Genomic DNA, 23951 nt, shown 5'->3' with positions numbered 1-23951 from the left:
ACCTAACAGGTCATTGGTGAATCTAGGCTGAAAATATGGATTCTAGCTCCCAGATGGTCCTAGACTGAGTCATATCGGCATAGGAAGAATGACTAATATCCTAACAGCTAAATGTCATCAGGTGTTGAAGATGTGGGAGGAAAACAACCTGTGTTAAAAATGTTCTTCTACTTCATGTCTATGAGGGAACACACAGGTAGCATAAAAATAATAACTGGAACAAATGAGCAAAGTAGTGTTTGGTGTGACTATAATGAACTTGTGATTTACTAGAAGCGGAGAGTCTGGAAAATACTGAACAGAAAACACACTTGGGTGACATTCAAGAGACAGAAAAGCAGATCATGTGCTAGTCAGGAGGCCCGATCATTCCTTCTTGCTGTGGCCTCTGACTAGCTGCATGTCCTGCAGACTTAAGTTAACCTGCCTCCCTGGACCCCAGTTTTCTCCTGTGTGTTTGGAAAGCTTCAGATTTGCTTGTTTCTAAATTCTCTTTAGAAAAATAGACTCTCAGTGATTCAAAGTCTAAAATTCTGTCTAGTCTTGGTCTTGCACTATTTTCTTTGAGCCCATTTTCATTGAAAAAGAAACCCACTATCATCTCTGTATCAGGTGTCAGAGGGAGTGCATTAGAAAATAAGGGTGTTCTTTCTTGAAAACGTATTAAATGAAATCTAGTTTTCAAAACAGTTTCTCATGAGGGGCAGCTCAACATAATGGTTATGTACTCAAGCCATGGAGGCAGATACCAATCAGTAAGAAATCGAATGATCTTCATCAAAGGATGAAATTGTTTTGTGGGCCTCAGTTTGCTCAGTGGTGCTGGGTAGGGAGTAAATAATTTTGCACAGTGCTTGGCATATGCTAAACACTAAGAGCTCCTATCATTCCCTTTCTTGGTCTTAACATGTTCAACTGAGCAGATTGCCTGAGTGGCTCCTTTAATGCCAACATAATTATGATGCTAGAGACCTAGAAATAAGACAGCCATGGTCAATGTTTTGCCCCAGGAGAGTGTGTTCCTCTTCCTACCTGTGTTTATTTCACCTCACTGTCTAAGGTAATGCTTCAAGTAATTTAGTCACTCTATTTCCATATCACCTCCTTGTTCTCACCTCTTAGATCTATAGGCACAGCATCCTGTATATTAATAAACTTGAGAGTTGGCCAATCATGTAAATGAGCAGTCTAGATCTTTCATTTCATAGATGAGGAAACATGCCAAAGATTTAAATGATGGGTCCACAATTACAGAGTTGGTAATAGAGCTAAAGTTACATTGTTAGCACATACTCTCTAGCAGTTGGAGTGATACATTTTCCTTCATAGTAGAGTGCAGCTAATATCCAGTGCTGTGTTTGTTTTTTAAATAATTATTAAAATCTATCAGCAAGGTAAAAGCCAATCAAATGAAACCATTCAATGCATATGTTGAAAATGAATAATCGTTGCAGCATTTGAGTGGGGAACACAGGACCCAGAGTACTATATCCCCCAGTGTCCTGTGTCCTTGGCCTTACTCTTCATGGTCATAGCTTGCTGTCATTCTTCTAGAGCTTCCATTTACTTAATATTTTTCTCAGCTTCCACAGTGCTAAGTGCTTTACCTACTCTGTCTCATTTACTCCTAATAAAAACCTAGTAAAATTGGCATTACTGTCCCCATTTTACAGAGGGGGCAAACTAAGGCTAAAAGGGAATATCTTGCTGGAGTCACACAAGTAGTGATTGGCAGAACCAGCATCACAGCTGATAGGTCTCACTCCTTCCCATTGCACTTTCTTGCCTCTCACCCTGTATGAAAGCCACTGTTCAGGGCTTCCTGTTTGACATAGCTACATATGGAAATTCAAAGGATTGTCTCTTCCACTAGTGAAAATTGCATCTAAACATTGTATCTTCCCAAAGACAATTATTTCATAGTGGTATGTTTGTGTGGCTGTTGCGGTTAAGCTGCTGTTGTACATGAAGTATACAGTAACTGATTCTTAGCTTAGGGTGCACACGACACACCTTGGGTAGGTAGGTGCTAAACCTGAAATCCAGAGGAGGCCTCCCATGCCCCACTTTACAGGGGTCACTGTGGCTTGCAAAAAGTCACACAGCTGTTGCCTGATACATAACAAGGTGCTGTCCTGCTATTTTGGAGCTGTGAAAAAAATTCCCAGAATTACTGCTTTGCCCCTGGCAAAGCAAATCATATAATTCACATTTCTGGATTATTGGTTTTGTCCTGTATTTCATAATTCTTTCCTACCTTGTTTTGGGAAACTGTCAAAATTATCCCATTCTGATATTATCATAACTGAAGAAAGGTATCATGTTATATTTTGATAAAGAGAGAACAGATTACAACTCCTTTATCAATCTGACATATTTTGGATGTTTTTCACTTTTTAAGACCTAGATGTTTTAGATCATTAAAAACAAAAAATCACACAGGAAGGGGAACATCACACTCTGGGGACTGTTGTGGGGTAGGGGGAGGGGGGAGGGATAGCATTAGGAGATATACCTAATGCTAAATGACGAGTTAATGGGTGCAGCACACCAGCATGGCACATGTATACATATGTAACTAACCTGCACATTGTGCACATGTACCCTAAAACTTAAAGTATAATAATAATAAAATAAATAAATAAATAAATAAAATAAAATATTGATCAAATCTTAAAAAAATAAAAATAAAAATAAAAATAAATATCTTTGGGAAAAAAATCAATAATAAAAATGTAAATCAAGTCTACATCATCTAAATCAAATTAAGGTTTTCTTTAGATTTTCACAGTTTTATTGAAGTGTGTTTACAATTTTCCTCCCTCCCTCCCTCCCTTCCTTCCTTCCTTTCTTCCTTCCTTCCCTCCTTACTTCCTTCCCTTCCCCCACCTACTTCCATCTAGTAGAAATGCTCTCCATTCCCTTTGTGCCTGTAAACTCCTCCTGATCCTCTCAAACTCATCTCACATGTGGCTTCCTCTGGAAGCACAGCCTTACCCCCCTCCTTTTCTGCATTTCTGTAGTACTTAGGTCATGTTTTCAGCACAGTGTCCACTATGTTGTACTGTAAGTATTTGCTGCCAATGCTATTTGATCATATGGCTCCCCTGCTCAAAATTCTTTAGGGACTTCCCATTAGTGTCAAAATAAATTCCAAACTCATTAGTCTGAAACCCAGAATCCTTTGTAGTATAAACTCTGAGACTCATTCTATTCATATATTACCATACACATGTTCATCCTGAGTTCTAGACACAAAGCTGGAAGGTTGTAAACGGCTGTGTTATTCAAGTCTACATCTCTAGCTCATTCTTTCCCCAGTGCCTTGAATATCCCTCTCCTCCATCCTTTGCCATTTCAGATGTCACCACTCCTAGAAGCCCTTTCCTGCACTTCCTGGCTCCTCAGGTGAGTCTCTCCTGTGACACCCGTTGCATCCTTACCATAGTACTGAGCACACAGCACTGGATTTGTCCCTCTCCACTAGAGCATGAGTTTGAGGGGAGGGACTGGGTCTTCTATCTTATCTTTATATCCCAAGCACCCCGCTGGGTGCCAGGTACATTTTAGGGGCTCAAGAAATTCTTGTTGAATTTGATAAATTTAGAATAGTCCATTGCCAGTGGTGATTCCAATAGAGTCACTGATGAATATTAAACACTGATTGATAAATTTGTGATTGATAACAGAACAGTCAACCTGAAGGCAGGGGATATTAATGAAATAGACTGGTTCCAAAAACCATTATTATGATCATGACTGTTGTTATTCTTTTTATTCTTCTGAGTTTTAGGGGATGAAACACAATATGAGTATGGCCCTGTCAATGCGATTGATCTGGGGCAGAGTGCTTCCTCCGAGTTGAGCCCAGGTGCTCCCTCAAATGAAGCTGCAGCCACATTTCACCTCTGCTTTATGTCATTTGTCTACTTACGTCATCCGCTTCCTTCCTCTGAACAGCTCCCTCTAAACTCTAATTTTTAAATTTGACCTCAGCAGATGTAATAGAATATTTTGAGCCAGTATATGATTGTTTTAAAATAGCACTTCATTTTGTAGGTTACAAAATGAACAGAGATCCTTAAAACACTACAAAGATAATGAAGACAAAAAGTAAACATCTCTGAAGTTGTCATCAGAAGTCATTTCCCTCCTTGTTTGTGGTTACTCTCCCTCACAGTTCCTGGCAGCCCTGTACTTGTAGAGCTCTGGTCGCTAGCACCAAATGGTAATTTATCATCTTTCTTGGCAGGTTTCCTGCTTCATCCTGCACCTGCCTTCTTGAAAGAAAACAAGACATCAGATACTTATTCAAATAATGGAATAGCTGATCAACTGGGTCTCCACACAAAAGAGAGTTATCCATGATAAAAGAACAACTTTTTCATGCATTATATGTGACACATGCATGCTTTCTCTTAAGATTTATGAACCCATGACTATTAGTATTGTTAATATAATCAAACCTTTTACAGCCTCACTCCAAAGCTTAAACTTATTATCAATTGCCTTCTAGAGGGGAGTCAATCAATTTCATAAGTGCTTAAACACCTGCACTCTCTTTGAATCGGGGAAAAATCAATACCAAGTCCTCATTTTCTCCAAGTATATAATGCAACCAAATCTTGCTTACAAGTTCAGGAGGATTTGTGATTCAACAGTCACACTTTAAAGACGTCATGAGCTTGATCCTGAGTGGTGGCGGTTTTTTTTTTAATGAAAAATTATTAATTCATTTCTGGATGCTAATGAAAAAACAGGTCACTGTCGGGGAAAAATAAAACAGACTCTGCTAATACTGCTTAGGATTAAGTCCCCTGTTTGTGTTCTGCATAGGTGTGTTTTGCAACAAACACAAATCACATACCTATTAACCAGGCATGGTGCCAGTCTCTGAATATACAGATGTGGCTGAGACAGGACCCCTGCCTTCAGGATGCTCATGATCTATTAATGGAAGAAGATGTATAAACAGCTTACTCCAATTGTTATACAAAACAATAATTTAATTGCGTGTAGGGGGATAAAGAAGAGGAGACAGAGAAAAGGAAAGAAATAAGAAAAGAAAAAAAAAGGACAGTGTATTAGATGCTTATTGCTACCAGCCAGGCTAGAACTTCCAATTCTATAATCACTCTTGATTTTTACAATATGTTGTAAAAACAAAGAGGAAGGTGTATTTTCAAAATACTATTAATTTCTTTTTTGTTATATGTTTTTCTTCTTTGTTATTTTGATACGATTTTGAAAAGTAGAGTCTAATATAGGAAGGACTATTTATTCATCACAATAACAACTAAAGTTTATGTTTTTCCTTCTCTGCTTCAGATTTTGTTTAAATATAAGAACTGGAAAACCAAAGGTAAATTTGAAGTCACATTTGTTCCCATTTCCCATCCCATTCTACTTCCTCTCTTCCTGTTAGATGTTACTCCTTTCTTGGATTTTTAAATTTATCCTTCCAGTTTATGTGTTTATAAGTTTACCCCACTTGCTCCCTTCTCAGCTTTGTCATCTCTAAAACACCTTCACTGAGAAACGAAGTGTCCTTCTCATCCCATGGGGCTGTTCTGGGTATCAAGTAAGATACTGATATGAAGTGTTTTGTAAGTTACAAATTAATTACTTTGAAAGGTTTATTATTATTTTATTAATTCTAATTGTATTTATAATCAATTGTGATACTATTTGTCTGCTTATAATTTACACAAATTGACATACATATATAATTTGTGTAATTTCACATTTATACATATTACATATGTATATGTATGTATACATATATGTTACAATTGTCTGTTTTTCTCAGAATTGAGCTTTGATGCTTACCTAGATTACTGGGTATTACTAGAATAGTGCCTGGCCTACACTGAGCACTCAATCAATATTTGTCGGATATGTAGGGTCTCTCTTTCCATTAGACCCTCAGCAACTTGAGGCCAATGTCTCTTTTCATTGCTGCTGATCCCTCAATTCCGGGCACAGTGTTGGTGAACAATAAATATTTATTGAATTGACTCGAACCAGAGAAAGCTTCCTGGAATTGATGGCCTTTTATCTGACACCTGAAGGGCATGCAGGATTTACACAGGGGGTGAAGAATGGACCAGCCAGGCATGCTGAGGAATAATGTGAGCCAAAGCAAGAGACGGTGAAAATAGGTGCCCACTGCTTCTGCTTTGCTCCCTGTGTGCTTGTTTCCGGATTTGGAAGCTGTGCCTAATTAGCACATATCTTCCTAATACTCAAAGTTTTTTTGTTGTCAAGTTTTAAAGCAAAATGCCTGCCATAGGTTAAAATAATCACTGTCTGACCTTTCTTGGAATTTTCCCCAGATACCCTAGAAGGTTATTTTTCCACTTTTTACACCTGGTGTGCTGTTTGATAGTGTGACACCTGGTGACTGGAATTTTCTAGCTCCCCACCTGCTCACAAAATATGTTATTTCTTTAATCTAAAAATACTCTACTTTTTAAAAAAGATGTAGAACAGAAAGGAACAAATTAAAAAGTTTAAATAGTCAAATTAAGCAAGAAATATTCAAGGTTAGCCTGGGCTCCATCTGCCTAGTTTGAGTTTTTGTACAACCTTAGATACAGTTAAAAAAAAATGGAAGAGATAGCTCTCACTTTTACACATGCCTACCTCGACCAAGTTGACACTCCTTTTCTTTGCTTTTTTCTATTTCTTTTAATTCTTCAGAATTTAGAAACCACAAGGGGTACAAATATAGCTACTTTAACTGTAGAGAAAAAGGGGACTGATCAGATCAAATAATATAAAAGGTATTCTCCAGTTTTCCATTTCTGACTCCTCTGATAACAGAGTTTATACACATTTTCCTAAATGATATCATTTAGGAAGTCCAGGGCTGGGCCATCCACTTTCTAAAATAAAGATACAGATATAAATACAACCAGTCTTGGGCTTTTGTTTTATGTATCTTTCTCTTTTCCTTCTATTTTGGATATCTAGTTCTTGGAGTGCTGGTATCATTTCCAAATACAATTTTTCTTATAGTTTGACTATCAAAATTTGATATTAAAGAGACCTCTTCAATAATACACTTTAAGAAAATGCTTTTAGAAGCATTTGAGGAGGCTAATAGAAAGAAGACACATTGCTTGTCCTCAGAGAGCATAAACAGTACCTCAGGTGACACTGGTAAACTTTTACAGGCAATGATCATGTTCTCTCCTTGCAAGGGTGTCTAATCCAGGGGTAGATTATGCTGTGAAAGAGGCCTTCCCACTAAATGCCTGTGAGAAGGTTATCCATTTAAGAAGAACATCAAAGGTGAACTTGATCAACACACCCCTAGACAAAAGATTCAAGATGGCAGTTAATAGTTATTGCAACAGTATGTGCCCATTGCAAACAAAACAAAACAAAACAAAACAAAACAAAACAAAACAGCCTAAGAAATTTCCAAAGCAATCATGAGCAGTGTGTCTGAACTCTATTTTACCACGAGATGCTGACTCCTGCCTTCTCTCCCTGACAGTTTCCAGGTCCCCCAACCCACGTGAGTCTGTTTCTAGAAGTCCTTGGAATGGCTCCTGCTAATGCCATGAACATTTTCAGCATCTTGTCTTTGTCACCTGTAAAATAGCATTAGAACTAGTCCTTCTTTCTATCCTTGGAGCTTCTTTGAGCATCGAATGAAAAGCTGAACGTGAAACTGATTTAATAATTTTAAATTGCTATTAAAATATTATTTTTATTTTATTACACAATTCTAATTCTATTATAATAAAACAGAATGAAATAGATTTAAAATAGGTAAAGCAGTTTTCTATAATTTCCGTAGAAGGAAGGCAAGTCAGGGACATGATCAGTCTTGGTTATTGTTGCATCTCCAGCACCTACCACAGTACGCAGCATATAGAAGACATTTGATAAATACTTGCTGAAAGAAACCAAGAACTGCATGTAATGTGTTATGGACTGAATGTCTGTGCCCCTCCAACATTCTTATGTTGAAATTCTAATCCCTAATATGATGGTATTAGGGGGTGGGACCTTGGGGGTGTGATTAGTTCATGAGGGTGGAGCCCTTATGAAAGAGATTGTGCCCTTATAAAAGAGACCCTCTAGCCCTCTCTCTGCCATGCGAGGATACAATGTGGAGTTGGCAGTCTGCAACCTAGAAGAGAGTCTTTATTAGAACCCGACCATGCTGGCATTTTGATATCAGACACTTTCATCCTCCAGAACTGTGAGAAATGAATTTCTATTGTTAAGAAGCCACCCACTCTATATAGCACTTTGCTATAGGAGTCTAAACTGACTAAGACAGAATGAGTGATAATGTTGCTTGGGGCCATTCTCATAGGCAGCTAGATAAATAAAGGAAAAGAGGAGAAACCAGAAGATGTAAAAATGATCATCCACTCAAATAAAAGTGCCATATATGACTGGAGTGTGTTCCAGCTCTAGAATTTACTTTTGGAGTTATAAATAAACATAATTATTTTTTAGCACTTGTTACACCTGTTTTGTATTCTTCTATGGTACAGGCCCTACAAATTCCAGTCTTTCAGTAAACCACTCAAGCCGAAAGATAAAATAACTTGCTAACTTATTATTTGTTGAATGGGCAATGTCAGGTTGGAGGAATTTATAGGCTAAACTAGTTTGGAATGTGTGGCATGGCATTAAAGTCCATTAATAAGCTAGCAAATAAATATTTATAGGGGACCTATCATGTGCCTGGACTGTGGAGGGCACTGCAGATGCCAAGGTCCATAGGGGTCTTTGGCTCATCAGAAGTTGTCCTACTTGGTTGACGGCTCGTTTCTTTTCTTAATCCCCTGGGACAGAGCAGTCAAATGAGCAGCCCACTCTGAATTAAACCTCTTTCTCTTCTAACCATCTCAACAGTGCTTAGGGAGAATATTTATTTCATTTTACAATACGTACCAATGACAGAATTTGTTTTACAGCCACAGTACTGCTCTATGACCTGAAACCAGGCTAATCTTCTAAGTGGAGGAGGCTCCACTTAGAATCCTCCTAAGTGGAGGAGTAAGCTCTTGATACACATTTTAGAAGCATTGTTACTTTCTCAGGTTGGATGCTGACAATGCAAGGCAGTAAGTAAATATATGTCCAAGATAGGATGTGTTCTGATGGCATGAACTTCACAGGAAAAGAAAAGAAGAGGAGGAGGACAATATTTTGTAAGTCATGGTAAAAAACAGAGAGGAAATGTAACTTACATTTCAGGTCCAATGGTAGAGGATGGAAGAGAAAACAGCCATTCTCTACTAAGAACTACTGAGAGTGGTCCCAGACATCAGCCAGGTTCCAGTTAAAGCACATAAGTGAAGGGAATCATTGATGATTGGTGGTGTATATATTGATGAAGCAAGATGGTTGATGATGTAGGATATTTGCTGCTAACCAAGCAGCCTTTCCTAGGCTGCAGTGGAAGGATTTGGAAGGAGTGTGACAGACTGGATCAGTTACATATGAGAGTCCAGATTATATGGGACGACTTGAGATCAGAAGCATGGTAGGATGCAGGGGCATGGTGGGATTCACCTTATGGTATCAAATGCAGGTTAGGGTGATAAGGCTGAGCACGTGTGGAAGGAGAGCAGAGGAGTTCCTTGCCAGGAGCATGTAGGGCTCTATCCCACCGGTGACCAGGCTGCCAGGACCACTATCTCCTTGGAGCATTCAGGGCTCATGGGTACTCCTTCCTCACCTGACAGGAAAGTTCAGATAGGAAAGATAACAATGGAAGTCCAGTAGTGAAATGATCACTAAATGTTTAAAATGCAGGGATTTGGGGGTAGTGGTTTATGGCTTCACTGAAATCAAACTTTTTTTTTGTAGGTGACTGTTTAGCTTGGCCATTTGCTGCTCCTACCTCAAATAGAAGGTATTCTTTTTTATTTTTATTTTTTATTATACTCTAAGTTCTAGGGTACATGGGCACAACATGCAGATTTGATACATAGATGTACGTGTGCCATGTTGGTTTGCTGCACCCATCAACTCATCATTTACCTTAGGTATTTCTCCTAATGCTATCCCTCCCCCAGGCCCCCACACCCCAATAGACCCTGGTGTGTGATATTCCCCCACCGTGTCCAAGTGATCTCATTGTTCAATTCCCACCTGTGAGTGAGAACATGCGGTATTTGGTTTTCTGTCCTTGTGATATCTTGCTGAGAATGATGGTTTCCAGCTTCATCCGTATCCCTACAAAGGACATGAACTCATCCTTTTTATGGCTGCATAGTATTCCATGGTGTATATGTGCCACATTTTCTTAATCCAGTCTATCATTGATGGACATTTGGGTTGGTTCCGAGTCTTTGCTATTGTGAATAGTGCTGCAATAAACATACGTGTGCATGTGTCTTCATAGTAGCATGATTTATAATCCTTTGGGTATATACCCAGTAATGGGATTGCTGGGTCAAATGGTAATTCTAGTTCTATATCCTTGATGAATCGCCACACTGTCTTCCACAATGGTTGAACTAATTTACACTCCCACCAACAGTGTAAAAGCGTTCCTATTTCTCCACATCCTCTCCAGCATCTGTTGTTTTAATAGAAGGTATTCTTTTAAAGATAATGTTCCTTTTCTCTTCCCTTATTATACATGCATATATGTTTATTTTATAAAGTTGGGTATACAAAAAATTAATAAAAAGAAGAAAATAAAAGTACTGATCATTGTAATACTCAGAAATAACTAGAGTTATAAATGTGTTTGCTTTCCTCAGGTTGGAATGCACTGTTGCACACATCCGATTTCAATTTACAAAACTGGAATTAAACCGTATGCAATGTACCTTTTAAAACTTAACATTATACTAAGTATATTTTGACACATAATTACACATCCTTTGAAACTGCATATAATTCCACCATAGAGGTGTATCATAATTTATGATTGGACATTTTGATTAAAAGCCAGCAATACAAACCTTTATGTGTATATCTCTGACTGTTCCCTTAGGATAAGTTCCCTAAAATAGAATTATTGAATTGAAAGGTACAAATAATTGTAAGTTTCTTGACTGTGATCTTGAACATTTTTTATACAGATTTATTTCTCTTAATTAAAGTAGCACTATTATGATAAGTAGTGACTAGTAACCATTTCCAGGTACAAACCGTGACATATTCTTGTGAACTTCATATCTATAACCATACTTAAAATTTTTAAAAATAACTCATGACAGAGCAAGTCCTGGCAGCAAAATCAACAGTTCTGGCTGTTAGTGTTAATTCCCTTCTGCACCAACCAGCTATTTTCCCTTCAGCTCAGCTATTTGCTCTTGCAAACTTACTTTTTCAAACCCTAGCAAAATTTCTTCATCTTCTCTAAAATTAATGTGTTGAATAGTAATCCTCAACTTTCCTTCTAATGGTAAAATTCTATTATTTTATTCTTTGTCATTTGGTCATAAAAATTGTTTCAAAAGAAATACAATGTTAAGATATTTCTGAAACAAAGTACAGGCTCAATAAATATTTGTTGAATAAGGGGAAATGAAAATTATAAAATGAGATATATATAATTAAGTTAAATATTTTTTAAAAATGTAATTAAACAAATTAAATTCCACTCGAAGAATAATTTACAGAGTGTCTTCTCTGGGAAATAATCTATGTTAAGTATTATGGAAGACGGAAATACAAACAGAAAAATAGTTCCTGCCCTGAAGTATTTTTGCAACAAGAACCATACTTTTTTTTTTTTTTTTTTTTTTGAAAGAGTCTCATTGTCACCCAGCTGGTGTGCAGTGGCACGATCTCGGCTCACTGCAACTTTCACCTCCCTGGGTCAGGTGATCCTCCTGCCTTAGCCTCACCAGTAGCTGGGACTACAGGCATATACCACATAGCCCAGCTAATTTTTGTATATATACATTTTTTTTTGTAGAGATGGGGCTTCACTGTATTGCCCAGGCTGGTCTCAAACTCCTGCACTCAAGGGATCCACTTGCCTTGGCTTTTCAAAGTGCTGGGATTTCAGGCATGAGCCACTGCATCTGGCCCCATACATTAATTTTGATGGGGGAAATTTATAAATAAATAGGAATTATACCAATTGCTCTTAGGGTGTTTAATCTCATAAAGAGACCCAAAGTTTGTGTACTCAGATGAAATAACACTAATAAAATGTCAAGAAAAATTTTGAACAATTTTTAGCATAACCAATACAACTAAGAAATTTTGCAGGAGGTGTTATATTTATCCTAAGTGCAAAATATTAGGATAAAAATATCAGAAAAAAATAATAGAAAAACTGTTCTCAGTTTTGGTAACATGACTACTCAGGGGACAACTAAGAAAGCCACAAATCCTAAATCAGAGTTTAGAAATATCCCTGAGTCTCAAAATATACCTTCACACTTACAACTATATTAAAGTGGCAAAACTCACATTTCAGGCATCTTGGAAATGGTTTCTGGATAAACTATGCAAAAACAGATATGCATTTGCATGGTATGCCTAATTGTCAGTTTCCTATTTTGCCATCGCTCTGAAGATCTTTTTGGCCACATTCAGTGAAAACAACATGATATTCAGCAAATTAATCTTCTGGATGTTTTAACTTGGGCTCTTGTGGTTTATTCTTGTTGTTAATAATTTTTAATTTGCTAGGTCACTTTGTACTCTTTGCCACTAGTTAGCATATCCTAGTTTTCCCAAGAAACACTTGAGTACAAAACCATTACTTAAGACCCAGCCTTAATGCCCATGACTTAGAAGGTTCACTTGGAAGCCAAAAGAGCAGAACTAATATACAAAGCTTGGTGTATCTTGTTGCCTGGGCAAGTCGACTTGCCTTGCATATGTGAAGATATTAAATTCCTATCCAGTTAATTAAAAAGAGCTTCATCATGTGTCAGCGCAAGACCTCCAAAAACAGGGCATTAGGAGTTTATTCTTGTTTCAGGAAACAGCTTTCTCTCCAAGTTTCTCACACATTTCAAATTTGTTGTTTTTTAGAAATACCTACTGGTCCCCTGTCTATTTCTTTTTAGCAGACTAAATTATAAAGAAGCCAATTTATTTTATAAAGATGTTTCTGGGAGATATCATTAGTTGGTTTCAATTAATTCAGATTGTACAATTTTTTTTTCTTCTATTTTAAGGCTGAAAATGTACTAGTTCAATTTCAAACAGGTTAATGACAATATTTTATAGAGAGACATTGTGGAGTAGCTTTTAAGAGCTCAGGAGCTGCTATTCAATAGATACAAATAGCTCCATTTTTTTAACTATCTGATTGACCTGAACCTTGGATAAAGTTATTTAACTGTTCTAAACTGGAATGTGCCAGACATTAAACGAATTGTACCTGCCTATATGGTTGTTTCCAGAATTAATGCCTACAGTCCATGTACTGCAAGGTGTTTGGTACAGTGTCCGGAGCATGAGAAAGTCTCCAATAACAGTTATTATTATTACTTATGACCATGAGGTAGAGGGGTATGTGTGAATTTTTAAAGTGCTTCACAATGAACCACTGACAAAAGGCAACACCGACATTGACATTTCCCACCTGCTATGCCAAGGTTTTCTCACACTGTCTTACGAATAGTTAAACAAAAACCTATATAAAAACTGAACATCCTGAGATTTAAAGTTAAGGTAAGATGGCCAGGCATGGTGGCTTATGCCTGTAATCCCAGCACTTTGGGAGGCCGAGGCAGGTGGATCACCTGAGGCCAGGAGTTCAAGACCAGCCTGGCAAATTTGGTGAAACCCTGTCTCTACTAAAAATACGAAAATTAGCCAAGCATGGTCATGGGCACCTGTAATACCAGCTACTCGGGAGGCTGAGGCAGGAGAATTGCTTCAACCAGGGAGGCAGAAGTTGCAGTGAGCCAAGATTGCATCATTGCATTCCAGCCTGGGCAACAAGAATGAAACTCTGTCTCAAGAAAAAACAAAGGTAAGACAACAAATTGACTCTAGGAGAACTGTTCTTGTTATAATCCAATTTCAGTTCAGAGTCTTAATGTAGTGAAATCTGAGCCCTGACAAACTATTGAATTCACTAAAACAAAATCTACTAAAATATAATTATGGCTTAGGCTTTAAATTTTCCGTTATGTGGTTCTGTTTCTAGGTTCTTTGCCCTATTCAATTGGTCTGTTTGCCTATCCATGTACCAAGAACAACTTATCTTAATTACCACAACTTTCTATGTCTTGTAGGGCAAGAACACCACCTTGTTTTTAAAAATTGCTTGGCCATTTTTTCTCTTATGTGAATTTTATGATCAGCATATTAGTGGGGTTCAACTTAAAATTATGTTAAATTGACAGATAAATTTGACGAGGACTGATATCTTTATGGTGTTGAATCTTCCCATCCATGAACATAGTATAATTCTCCACTTATTTCAATCCCCTTTTGTGTATTTTGATTTTTTCTTCATTAAAATCTTGCAAAACTTCAGTTATATTTGTTCCTAAGTATCATATAGGTTTTGATGCTATTTGCAAAGGTACCCTGAAAGAATACATATTCTGATTGTTTTTATTGATATATAGAGACAAGGTTTTTGGTCATTGATCTTATATACAGGACTTTTTTGGATCTTCGTTAGTTCTAATGGTTTGTATAGTCTCTTGGACTATCATATCTGAATTATAATATTTTATTCTTATTTTTTGATTTCTCTATATATTTTTAAAACATATATATATAAATCAAAAAACAAGATGTTATAATTCAATATAATATCTTTGCCCTATTGTGTTGGCTTGGACCACTGGTATAATGGTGATGTGGTGATGGGGTGTCTTTGACTTGTTTATTCCTTTAAATTGAATGCTTCATTATTAATTATGCATTTGCTGAAGATTTTTGTTAGCTGACATATCTATTTTTATTCTGATCACTTTTTTAGGGCAGTTTACGATATCTATATGATCACAGCATTCATCCATTGGCTGCTCTACTCTCTTCTTAAGCTATTATTTAGACTTAGTTCTCTATTTTGATTGTTTAAAACTTAGTTACCTAGTAAAGTCCTCAGGAAGGGCTCACTGGGATAATATTCCATGTAGTCTTGAATGTTGATGAAAGTTTGTGTGTATCTTTTATTCTCTAAAGTCTGTTTTAATAAATATAAAACTCTGAGCTTATACTTTCTTGTTTTAAACAGCTTACTGATGCTACTCTATTTTCTTCAGAAATAACGTGTTGCTGTTAAAAGTCTGGTGGAAATCTAATTTTATTTTCTTTATAAGTCACGTGACTTTTCTTTTCTAGATGACCATAGGATTTTAAAAAAATCTTTATTAATTTTATTAGAATTTTTTTTGATATTGGTCATTCTGGGTCAATAGTCTCAGGTAGTCAGTATGTTGTTTCAATATGTTGCTTTAAATCTTTTTTTAAATATCAGGAAAGTTTTCTTTAATTATAATTTTGTTCTCTTCTTGCTTTGTTTTTTTCTTCAGGGACTCCTAGTATCTCTATATTAGATATTCTTTGCTATTTTTGTATTTGTTACTTTCTCTTGAACCCCTTTACCTCATTATTCTCCTTTGACTTTAAGAAATGTTCCTTTCTGCCTTCTGTTTCCCTTAACTATGTGTTTTCCACACTGTATCCTAGTTTAGTCTTCATTTTCAAAATGATATGTTCTTTTATTTCTAATTATTTTCTATCACTTCAGTTCTCAGATTTAAAAATTCTGATTTTTATTGCTTCTTCATGTCTTGTATACTTTAATGTCTTTGAGTTGATTTTGAAACGGAAGTTGTATTTTGTTTTGTTTTGTGGGTATAACTTTTTAAGCATGCTTTAATCATCTCTGAAAATAATATTGAGCTCCTTATTGGCTCATTTCTTTTTTTAACTTTATTTTATATTCAGGGGTATATGTGCAAGTTTGTTAAGGTAAATTTGTGTCATTGCATCATAGGGGTTTGTTATACAGATTATTTCATTACCCAGGTATTAAGTTGAGTACCCATTAGTTATTTTTCTGATCTTCTCCCTCCTCCCACCTCCGCCCTTTGAAAGGCTCCAGTGTGTGTTGTTTCCCTCTATGTGTCCATGTGTTCTCATCATGTAGTTTCCACTTTTAAGTGAGAATATGCAGTATTTGGTTTTCTGTTCCTGCATTAGTTTGCTAAGGATAATGGCCTTAGCAAATGCAAAGGACATGATCTAATTCTTTTTTATGGCTGTATAATATTTCATGGTGTATATGTACTGCATTTTTTTATCCAGTCAAAACCACAATGAGACACTATCTCACACAGTCAGAATAGCTATTATTAAAAGTCAAAAAATAACAGATGCTGGTGAGGTTGTGGAGAAAAAGGGAATGTCTATACACTGCTTGTAGGAGTGTAAATTTTATGTAATGTTAAAAATATATAATTGCTTGTTTCTTGATATTTCTTGGTTATCTTCCCCAACCAAGAATCTTCTGTTTTAGGCTCTGTTTTCCCCAACTTGTTCATTTTTTATTCTATTTCTAGTGGTTTCTCCATAGGTGTTTCCTGTATTAGAAAGGAACCCATTTCAGTTTTGAGATTTCACAACAGTTAAGCTGCTCCAACCCCTTTAATCCTTACTTCATGCTCTTTCAACTCACTTGGTATTAGGAGAGAAAAATCTATTTTCAGTTTCTTAGGTGTTCTCAAATTGGCCCACTGTGGTTTTCAGTAAATAACTGTTGGCTATTACGGGGATCCATTCACCTTTAGACATGGCACCATTTGATTTCCTCTACTTTCTCCTTCACAGATGCCAATACCATGTGGGTCCTGGGGCTCTTGGTGGTTTGTTTCCATTTGTTTGTATCAGGGCACATACCTTGTTGCCTAGTTTTGTTGTAAACATTGCTCCTAGACTTTTGGTTTTGCTATTTAATTGCTCTATCTATTTTAAAGTGAGGATTCAAAAAGATTGGAAAGTATACTGTCACTATCATCACGATCCTCCCAGAATCTCTAAATTGGATTTAAAAAGCAAAAACTACAACTACTACAATAAGTTTAGTTATATATATATATGTGTATATATATGTATATATATGTGTATATATATGTGTGTATATATACGTGTGTGTGTGTGTGTGTGTGTGTGTGTGTGTGTATATATATATATATATATATATATATTTTTTTTTTTTTTTTTTTTTTTTTTTTTTTTTTGAGACAGAGTCTCGCTCTTTCGCCCAGGCTGGAGTGCAGTGGCGGGATCTTGGCTCGCTGCAAGCTCCACCTCCCGGGTTCACGCCATTCTCCTGCCTCAGCCTCCCGAGTAGCTGGGACTACAGGCACCTGCCACCATGCCCGGCTAATTTTTTTTGTATTTTTAGTAGAGACGGGGTTTCACCGTGTTAGCCAGGATGGTGTCGATCTCCTGACCTCGTGATCCACCCGCCTCGGCCTCCCAAAGTGCTGGGATTACAGGCGTGAGCCATCGCGCCCGGCCATATATTCTTTATAATAGATATAATAATGACATATTTAAGCAGAAACTTTTGAAGTAACGGGATAGAAAAAATGTACTAGGCAAGTTTAAATCAAAATATGGGTGGTTTAACATATTAATTTTAGACTAAATGGTCCTTAAAACAAACGATAAGTAATTTTTAAAAAGAAAGAAAAAGAAATAGTATTATTAAATAGAAAACAATTCACTAACAGTGTATATAATAATGAACTTGTATACTCCTAGGAAAATAGTTCTCAAAAATATATAGAGGAATAAATGGATAATTTCAAGGAGAAATAAACAAATCTAAAATTTAAATGGGAGATTTTAACACGCCATTCATTTAATTATGCATACATACACACACACATTTTTTTGTTTTTGTTTTTGTTTGTTGAGACGGAGTGTTGCTCTGTCGCCAGACTGGAGTGCAGTGGTGCGATCTTGGCTTACTACAACCTCTGCCTCCTGGGTTCAAGTGATCCCCCTGCCTCAGCCTCCCGAGTAGCTGGGACTACAGGCATGCACCACCCCACCCAGCTAATTTTTTGTATTTTTAGGAGAGACGGGATTTCACCATGTTGGCCAGGATGGTCTCAATCTCTTGACCTCGTGATTTTTCCTCTTTAGCCTCCCAAAGTGCTGGGATTACAGGTGTGAGCCATCATGCCCGGCCCACATATTCTGTATGATAAAAATTAGTAGGAGAACAGAAAGCTTGACAATACGATAATAAAAGTTGATATAATGAATATATAAATAGAATCTTGCATAAAACACTTACAGAATACATATTTTTTGAAGGATGCATGAAACATTTATAATTTAAAAAAATTTTTAATTTCTATTTTAAGTTATGGGGTACTCGTGCAGGATGTGCAGGTTTGTTACAGAGGTAAACGTGTGCCATGGTGATTTCCTGTACCTATCAAACCATCACCTAGGTATTCAGCCCAGAATGCGTTAGCTATTTTTCCTGATGGTCTCCCTTCCCCACACAATCCCCCAGCAGGCCCCAGTTTGTGTTGTTCCCCTTCCTGTGTCCATGTATTCTCATTGCTCAGCTCCCACTTATAAGTGAGGACACGCAGTGTTTTGTTTTCTGTTCCCGTATTAGTTTGAGGATAATGGTTTCCAGCTCCATCCATGTCCCTGTAAAGGACATGATATTGTTCCTTTTTATGGCTACATAGATGGTTGTAGATGTGCTATCTTATTCCTGAGTTCTCTATTCTGTTTCACTGGTCTATGTGTCTGTTTTTGTACCAGCACTATGCTGTTTTGGTTACTGTAGCCTCGTAGTGTAGTTTGAAGTGAGGTAATGTGATGCCTTCAGAGGCCAGCATCATCCTGATACCAAAACCTGGCAAAGATGCAACAAAAAAAGAGCAAACTTCAGGCCAATATCCCTGATGAACATTGATTTTCAAAAAATTATATTTCACTTTAAGTTCTGGGATACATGTGCTGAATGTGCAGGTTTGTTACCTGATCTTTGACTAACCTGACAAAAACAAGCAACCGGGAAAGGATCCCCTATTTAATAAATGGTGCTGGAAAAAGTGGCTAGCCATATGCAGAAAATTGAAACTGGACTCATTTCTTACACCTTATACAAAAATTAACTCAAGATGGATTAAAGACTTAAATGTAAATCTCAAAACTATAAAAACCCTAGAAGAAAATCTAGGGAATACCATTCAGGACATACGCATGGGCAAATAATTCATGACAAAATCACCAAAAGCAACTGCAACAAAAGCAAAAATTGACAAATGGTATCTAATTAAACTAAAGAGCTTCTGCACAACAAAATAAACTGTCATCAGAGCAAACAGACAACCTACCGAGTGGGAGAAAAATTTTCAATCTATCCATTTGACAAAGGCCTAACATCTAGAATGTATGAAGAACTTAAACAAATTTACAAGAAAAAAAAAACCCATTAAAAAGTGGACAAAGTTGTTTATCACCTTAAGGAGTTTTTGGGCTGAGATCATGGGGCAAGAATTTGACTGAGGGGCATAAGGTAGGGGAGAATGAGGCAAGTTTTAAAGCAGGAGTGAAAGTTTACTTTAAAAACTTCAACTTCAGCAAAGTCTCAGAATACAAAATCAATGTGCAAAAATCGCAAGCGTTCCTATACACCAAATGTAGACAAGCAGAGAGCCAAATCATGAGTGAAGTCCCATTCACAATTGCTACAAGTAAAATAAAATACTTAGGGATACAACTTACAAGGGACATGAAGGACCTCTTCAAGGAGAACTACAAACCTCTGCTCAAGGAAATAAGAGAGGAAATAAACGGATGGAAAAAAATTCCATGCTCATGGATAGGAAGAATCAATATCATTAAAATGCCCATACTGTCCAAAGTAATGTTTAGATTTAATGCTGTTCCTATCAAGCTGCCATTGACTTTCTTCACAGAATTAGAAAAAAACTACTTTAAATTTCAAATAGAACAAAAAAGAGCATGTATAACCAGGACAATCCTAAGCAAAAAGAACAAAGCTGGAGGCATCATGCTACCTAACTTCAAACTGTACTATAAGGCTACAGTAACGAAAACAGCATGATATTGGTACCAAAACAGATATATAGACCAACGGAACAGAACAGAGGCCTTAGAAATAACACCACACACCTACAACCATCTGATCTTTGACAAACCTGACAAAAACAAGCAATGGAGAAAGCATTCCCTATTTAATAAATGGTGCTGGGAAAACTGGCTAGCCATATGCAGAAAACAGAAACTGGACCCCTTCCTTACACCTTATACAAAAATTAACTCAAGATGGATTAAAGACTTAAACGTAAGACCTAAAACATTAAAAAAATCCTGGAAGAAAACCTAGGTAATACTATTCAGGACATGGGCATGGGCAAAGACTTCATGATTAAAACACCAAAAGCAATGGCAACAAAAGCCAACATTGACAAATGGGATCTAAATAAACTAAAGAGCTTCTGCACAGCAAAAGAACCGATCATCAGAGTGAACAGGCAACCTACCTGTTGGGTAGAATGGGAGAAAATTTTTGCAATCTATTCATTTGACAAAGGGCTAATATCCAGAATCTACATGGAACATAAACAAATTTACAAGAAAAAAACAAACAACCCCATCAAAAAGTGGGCAAAGGACATGAACAGACACTTCTCAAAAGAAGACATCTATGTGGCCAACAAACATATGAAAAACAGCTCATCATCACTGGTCATTAGCAACATGCAAATCAAAACTGCAATGGGATACCATCTCACACCAGTTAGAATGGTGATCATTAAAAAGTCAGGAGACAACAGATGATGGGGAGGATGTGGAGAAATAGGAATGCTTTTACACTGTTGGTAGGAGTGTAAATTAGTTCAGCCATTGTGGAAGACAGTGTGGCAATTCCTCAAGGATATAGAACCAGAAGTACCATTTAACCCAGCAATCCCATTACTGGGTACATACCCAAAGGATTATAAATAATTCTACTATAAAGACCTATGCACACATATGTTTATTGCAGCACTATTTACAATATCAAGGACTTGGAACCTACCCAAATACCCGTCAATTATAGACTGGATAAAGAAAATGTGGCACATATACACCATGGAATACTATGCAGCCATAAAAAAGAATTTTTGGGGGGAGAGAGAGCATTAGGACAAATACCTTATGCATGCAGGGCTTAAAACCTAGATGATGAGTTGATAGGTGCAGCAAACCACCATGGCACATGTATACCTACGTAACAAACCTGCATATTCAGCACATGTATCCCAGAACTTAAAGTAAAATAAAATAAAATAAATTGTTTATCAATATACCTCCTGCCCCCAAGTAATTTCTGTCTTAAAAGACACCTTGGTGGTCAGTGTTAAGAAAATTTATATTTTTATTTCATTACATGGTGAAGGTCTTATATGCTTATATATAGTGTCTGATCTAGTGCAGTGAATACAGTGCGTAGCAATAAACAATCACTTGTAGCAGTTGTGAAGATTAATTGATATATATGAAAGCATTTAAAAATTATGAAACACTGTAAATGTGAAGGATTTTCATGACCAATACTGGTACTTTAAGTCCTAGTAGGTGTCATACTATGCAGGCCATGTTCAAAATTAGTTGAGGTAATAAGGGTGTATGGTCAAGTTTCTCTTCCTTTGTTTGAGCAATCTCTTGTCCTTTCTACAGAACGTATAGTGGGAGATGTAAAACATGCTATTAATATATAAAACCCTTGGGTTACAGACTCAGCACAAGGACTGCAATTTTCAGTCAGGGTTCAAATAAGGAAGCAGAACACTGTATGAATAATACAGATTAAGGAATGTATTATAGAAATTGGAATTTCCCCAATGCAGAAAGAGCTGGGCATTAAAGTTTGTGTAAGGGAATTAGAGGATCAAAGAAGAGGCACTAACCAGCATCATGAGGAAGAGATGTCAACGGACAAATCAAAGCTTGTAGAGATCTCTGGAAGCTAGGCACATCTAGTTGCTATAGTGGGGTTGGGAAAGGGGGATGGTGTAGAAGTTGGTTGCTGTTTGTGGTCATTGACTGTAAATTTGCAACCAAGTGTCTGATGGTGCCAGCCTTTCATGCCAGCATGACCAGCCCATGAGGTCAGGAATGACTTCTTGAGTTTGCTTTGTTGTCATCCTAGCATATCAAGTAGTGAATGGCATATCACAGTTGCTTGATAAACACTAGGTGAATGAATGAATGAGTGATTGTCACTTAAGTGCCAGAAAGGGGTGGTCTTTAGGATTACCAAAGAGGGGTCTGAATTTGAAATATGGATTTGAGTAATGTTTGAAGTCATGGGAGTAGATGGACTCATTCAGACAGACACACACACACATGCACACACACACACACACACAGTGATAAAAGAATCTCAAGGGTAGAACCCTGAAAGAACACACTTACACTCAAGGGAACAGGTGGGAGGGAAAAAGCTTGTGAAGGATTCTGAGAAGTGATTAGAGAACAAGGGAACCAAGAAAAAGTGGCATTGGAGAAAACAAGAAAGATAGAAAATAAAACTTTCTGTTGAAGTCACGTGACTGCTATAAGTCAACATCTACAGGAATAGTGAACTCTTTCTCACCTAACATTTCTTGAAGATCAGTTTAATTTGCTTTTATCCTCTCCCTCTGTCCTTTGGGGGAACTCTTGAACAATATTTCATGAACAAGAGCACTGGACATTCATTGTTTCCCTTTCCTTTCCCTGGGTTAGCAACATTTTGCATCCCAGTGGCCATGATGGTTGGTTTATTCAGGATGGGTGCAGTTCGAAGCTATACCAATTGTACTGCATCTCTGGGCTTTAAAATGTAGGTGCTGTTGGAGAAAAGGCTTGTGCTTTTCTGCTGGATGTGAAGGTGAAAGATGTTAGCTCTGGGGCTGTGGAAGCCGTCTTGCAACCACAACATAGGAAAGGAGCCAACATGGAAGAGAGAAAAACTGAGAGACAGGAAAGCCAGGGTCTCGTGATATAATTGGAACCCCCAATTAAGGCATTCCTGAAGCAAGGCCTATCTCAGTTATATGAGCTGATAAACCTCCTTGCATTTTAATCTAAACCTAAAAAATCTTAGCCGACATTCCAAGAAGTAAAACATACTATACTTCTTTAGAAAATCAAACATAGATAGATAGATAGATAGATAGATAGATAGATAGATAGATAGATAGATGTCTTTGATTTCTTAAAAGTGGAAAAATATTATTTGCATCAACTAAGATCATGAGTCTAACTGCAGAAACTGATGTTCTACAGGGAATATTGTCATAACTTGAACAAAAACCTTAGTGGGAAAAACAGGACTTTCTTTTTGAATAGCAACTAGCCCTGGTGAGTCAATGTTGACATTTGTAACTCTTTCCTGGAAGGTTAGAAAATCTAAGGATTGACTGGTTTGCTCACTTACCCTGGCTTTTGTTTCCTAACGAATGGGTAATATTAGTCTTTCAGCATGATAACATAAAGCAGACTGATTTGCATCACTTGGTATTGTCAGCCCTGTGTGTTTGAGTTTGTTCTCTTATTTAATATGTGCTGTACTGAAACTGGGTAGTCCCTGTTTGTTCAGCGGCCTCTTGTGAGTGCCTGCCTTCTCTCTCGGATTGAATTGAACCAGGGAAAACAGATATGGGATAGTGTAAGAATAGGAGATTTTCTTATTTATTCCCAAATTTTTCACTACTCTAAGGACTTCCAATAGGATTTTGCTCTCTTTAGAAATCTAGACTGAGTCTAGAGTTGAAACTAAAATTATTTTAGTTTCTTCCTTCACTTATGTCGAGATTCTGGACCAGCTGGTCTTAGTCAGCCATCATCTTTTGCTGTCTTTGACTCATGGTAGCATATTATTGTCAGCTTTATTTATTTTCTGTTATTCATATGTATAAAAATTAATAATTACTCTTTAAGTCCTGCCTTTTCATTGTCTGGAAGGTAAGAACAGTTACATGTAACTTCAAGGGTTG

At 37.0% G+C, this 23951-nt stretch overlaps 1 protein-coding gene across 16 annotated transcripts in view; it reads left to right on the top strand.

Moving 5' to 3' along the window:
- Nucleotides 1-23951, top strand: part of C12orf42 (chromosome 12 open reading frame 42) — a 516167-nt gene that overhangs the window by 290576 nt on the left and 201640 nt on the right. For 5 of the 16 annotated variants that reach the window (XR_001748690.2, NR_170337.1, NR_170334.1 and 2 more), the window contains 3 exons: nt 3362-3408; nt 5329-5362; nt 9844-9889. The exons of 1 other annotated variant lie outside the window; for it this stretch is intronic. Coding sequence is in view for 6 of the 15 variants with exons in the window: in XM_047428807.1 (XP_047284763.1) it covers nt 3362-3408; nt 5329-5362; nt 9844-9889 (127 nt within the window). In the remaining 9 variants the exon portion in view is untranslated. Of the gene's footprint in view, nt 1-3321; nt 3409-4059; nt 4229-4252; nt 5363-5506; nt 5607-9843; nt 9890-10745; nt 10949-23951 lie in introns of those variants that run through there. 10 more of the 16 variants (XM_011538312.3, XM_047428806.1, XR_007063073.1 and 7 more) reach the window with 9 other exon arrangements.

Source organism: Homo sapiens, chromosome 12 (assembly GCF_000001405.40).
Source record: "Homo sapiens chromosome 12, GRCh38.p14 Primary Assembly".
Classification (NCBI taxonomy): Eukaryota; Metazoa; Chordata; class Mammalia; order Primates; family Hominidae; genus Homo; species Homo sapiens.
This window is presented reverse-complemented; position numbering and strand designations above follow the sequence as displayed.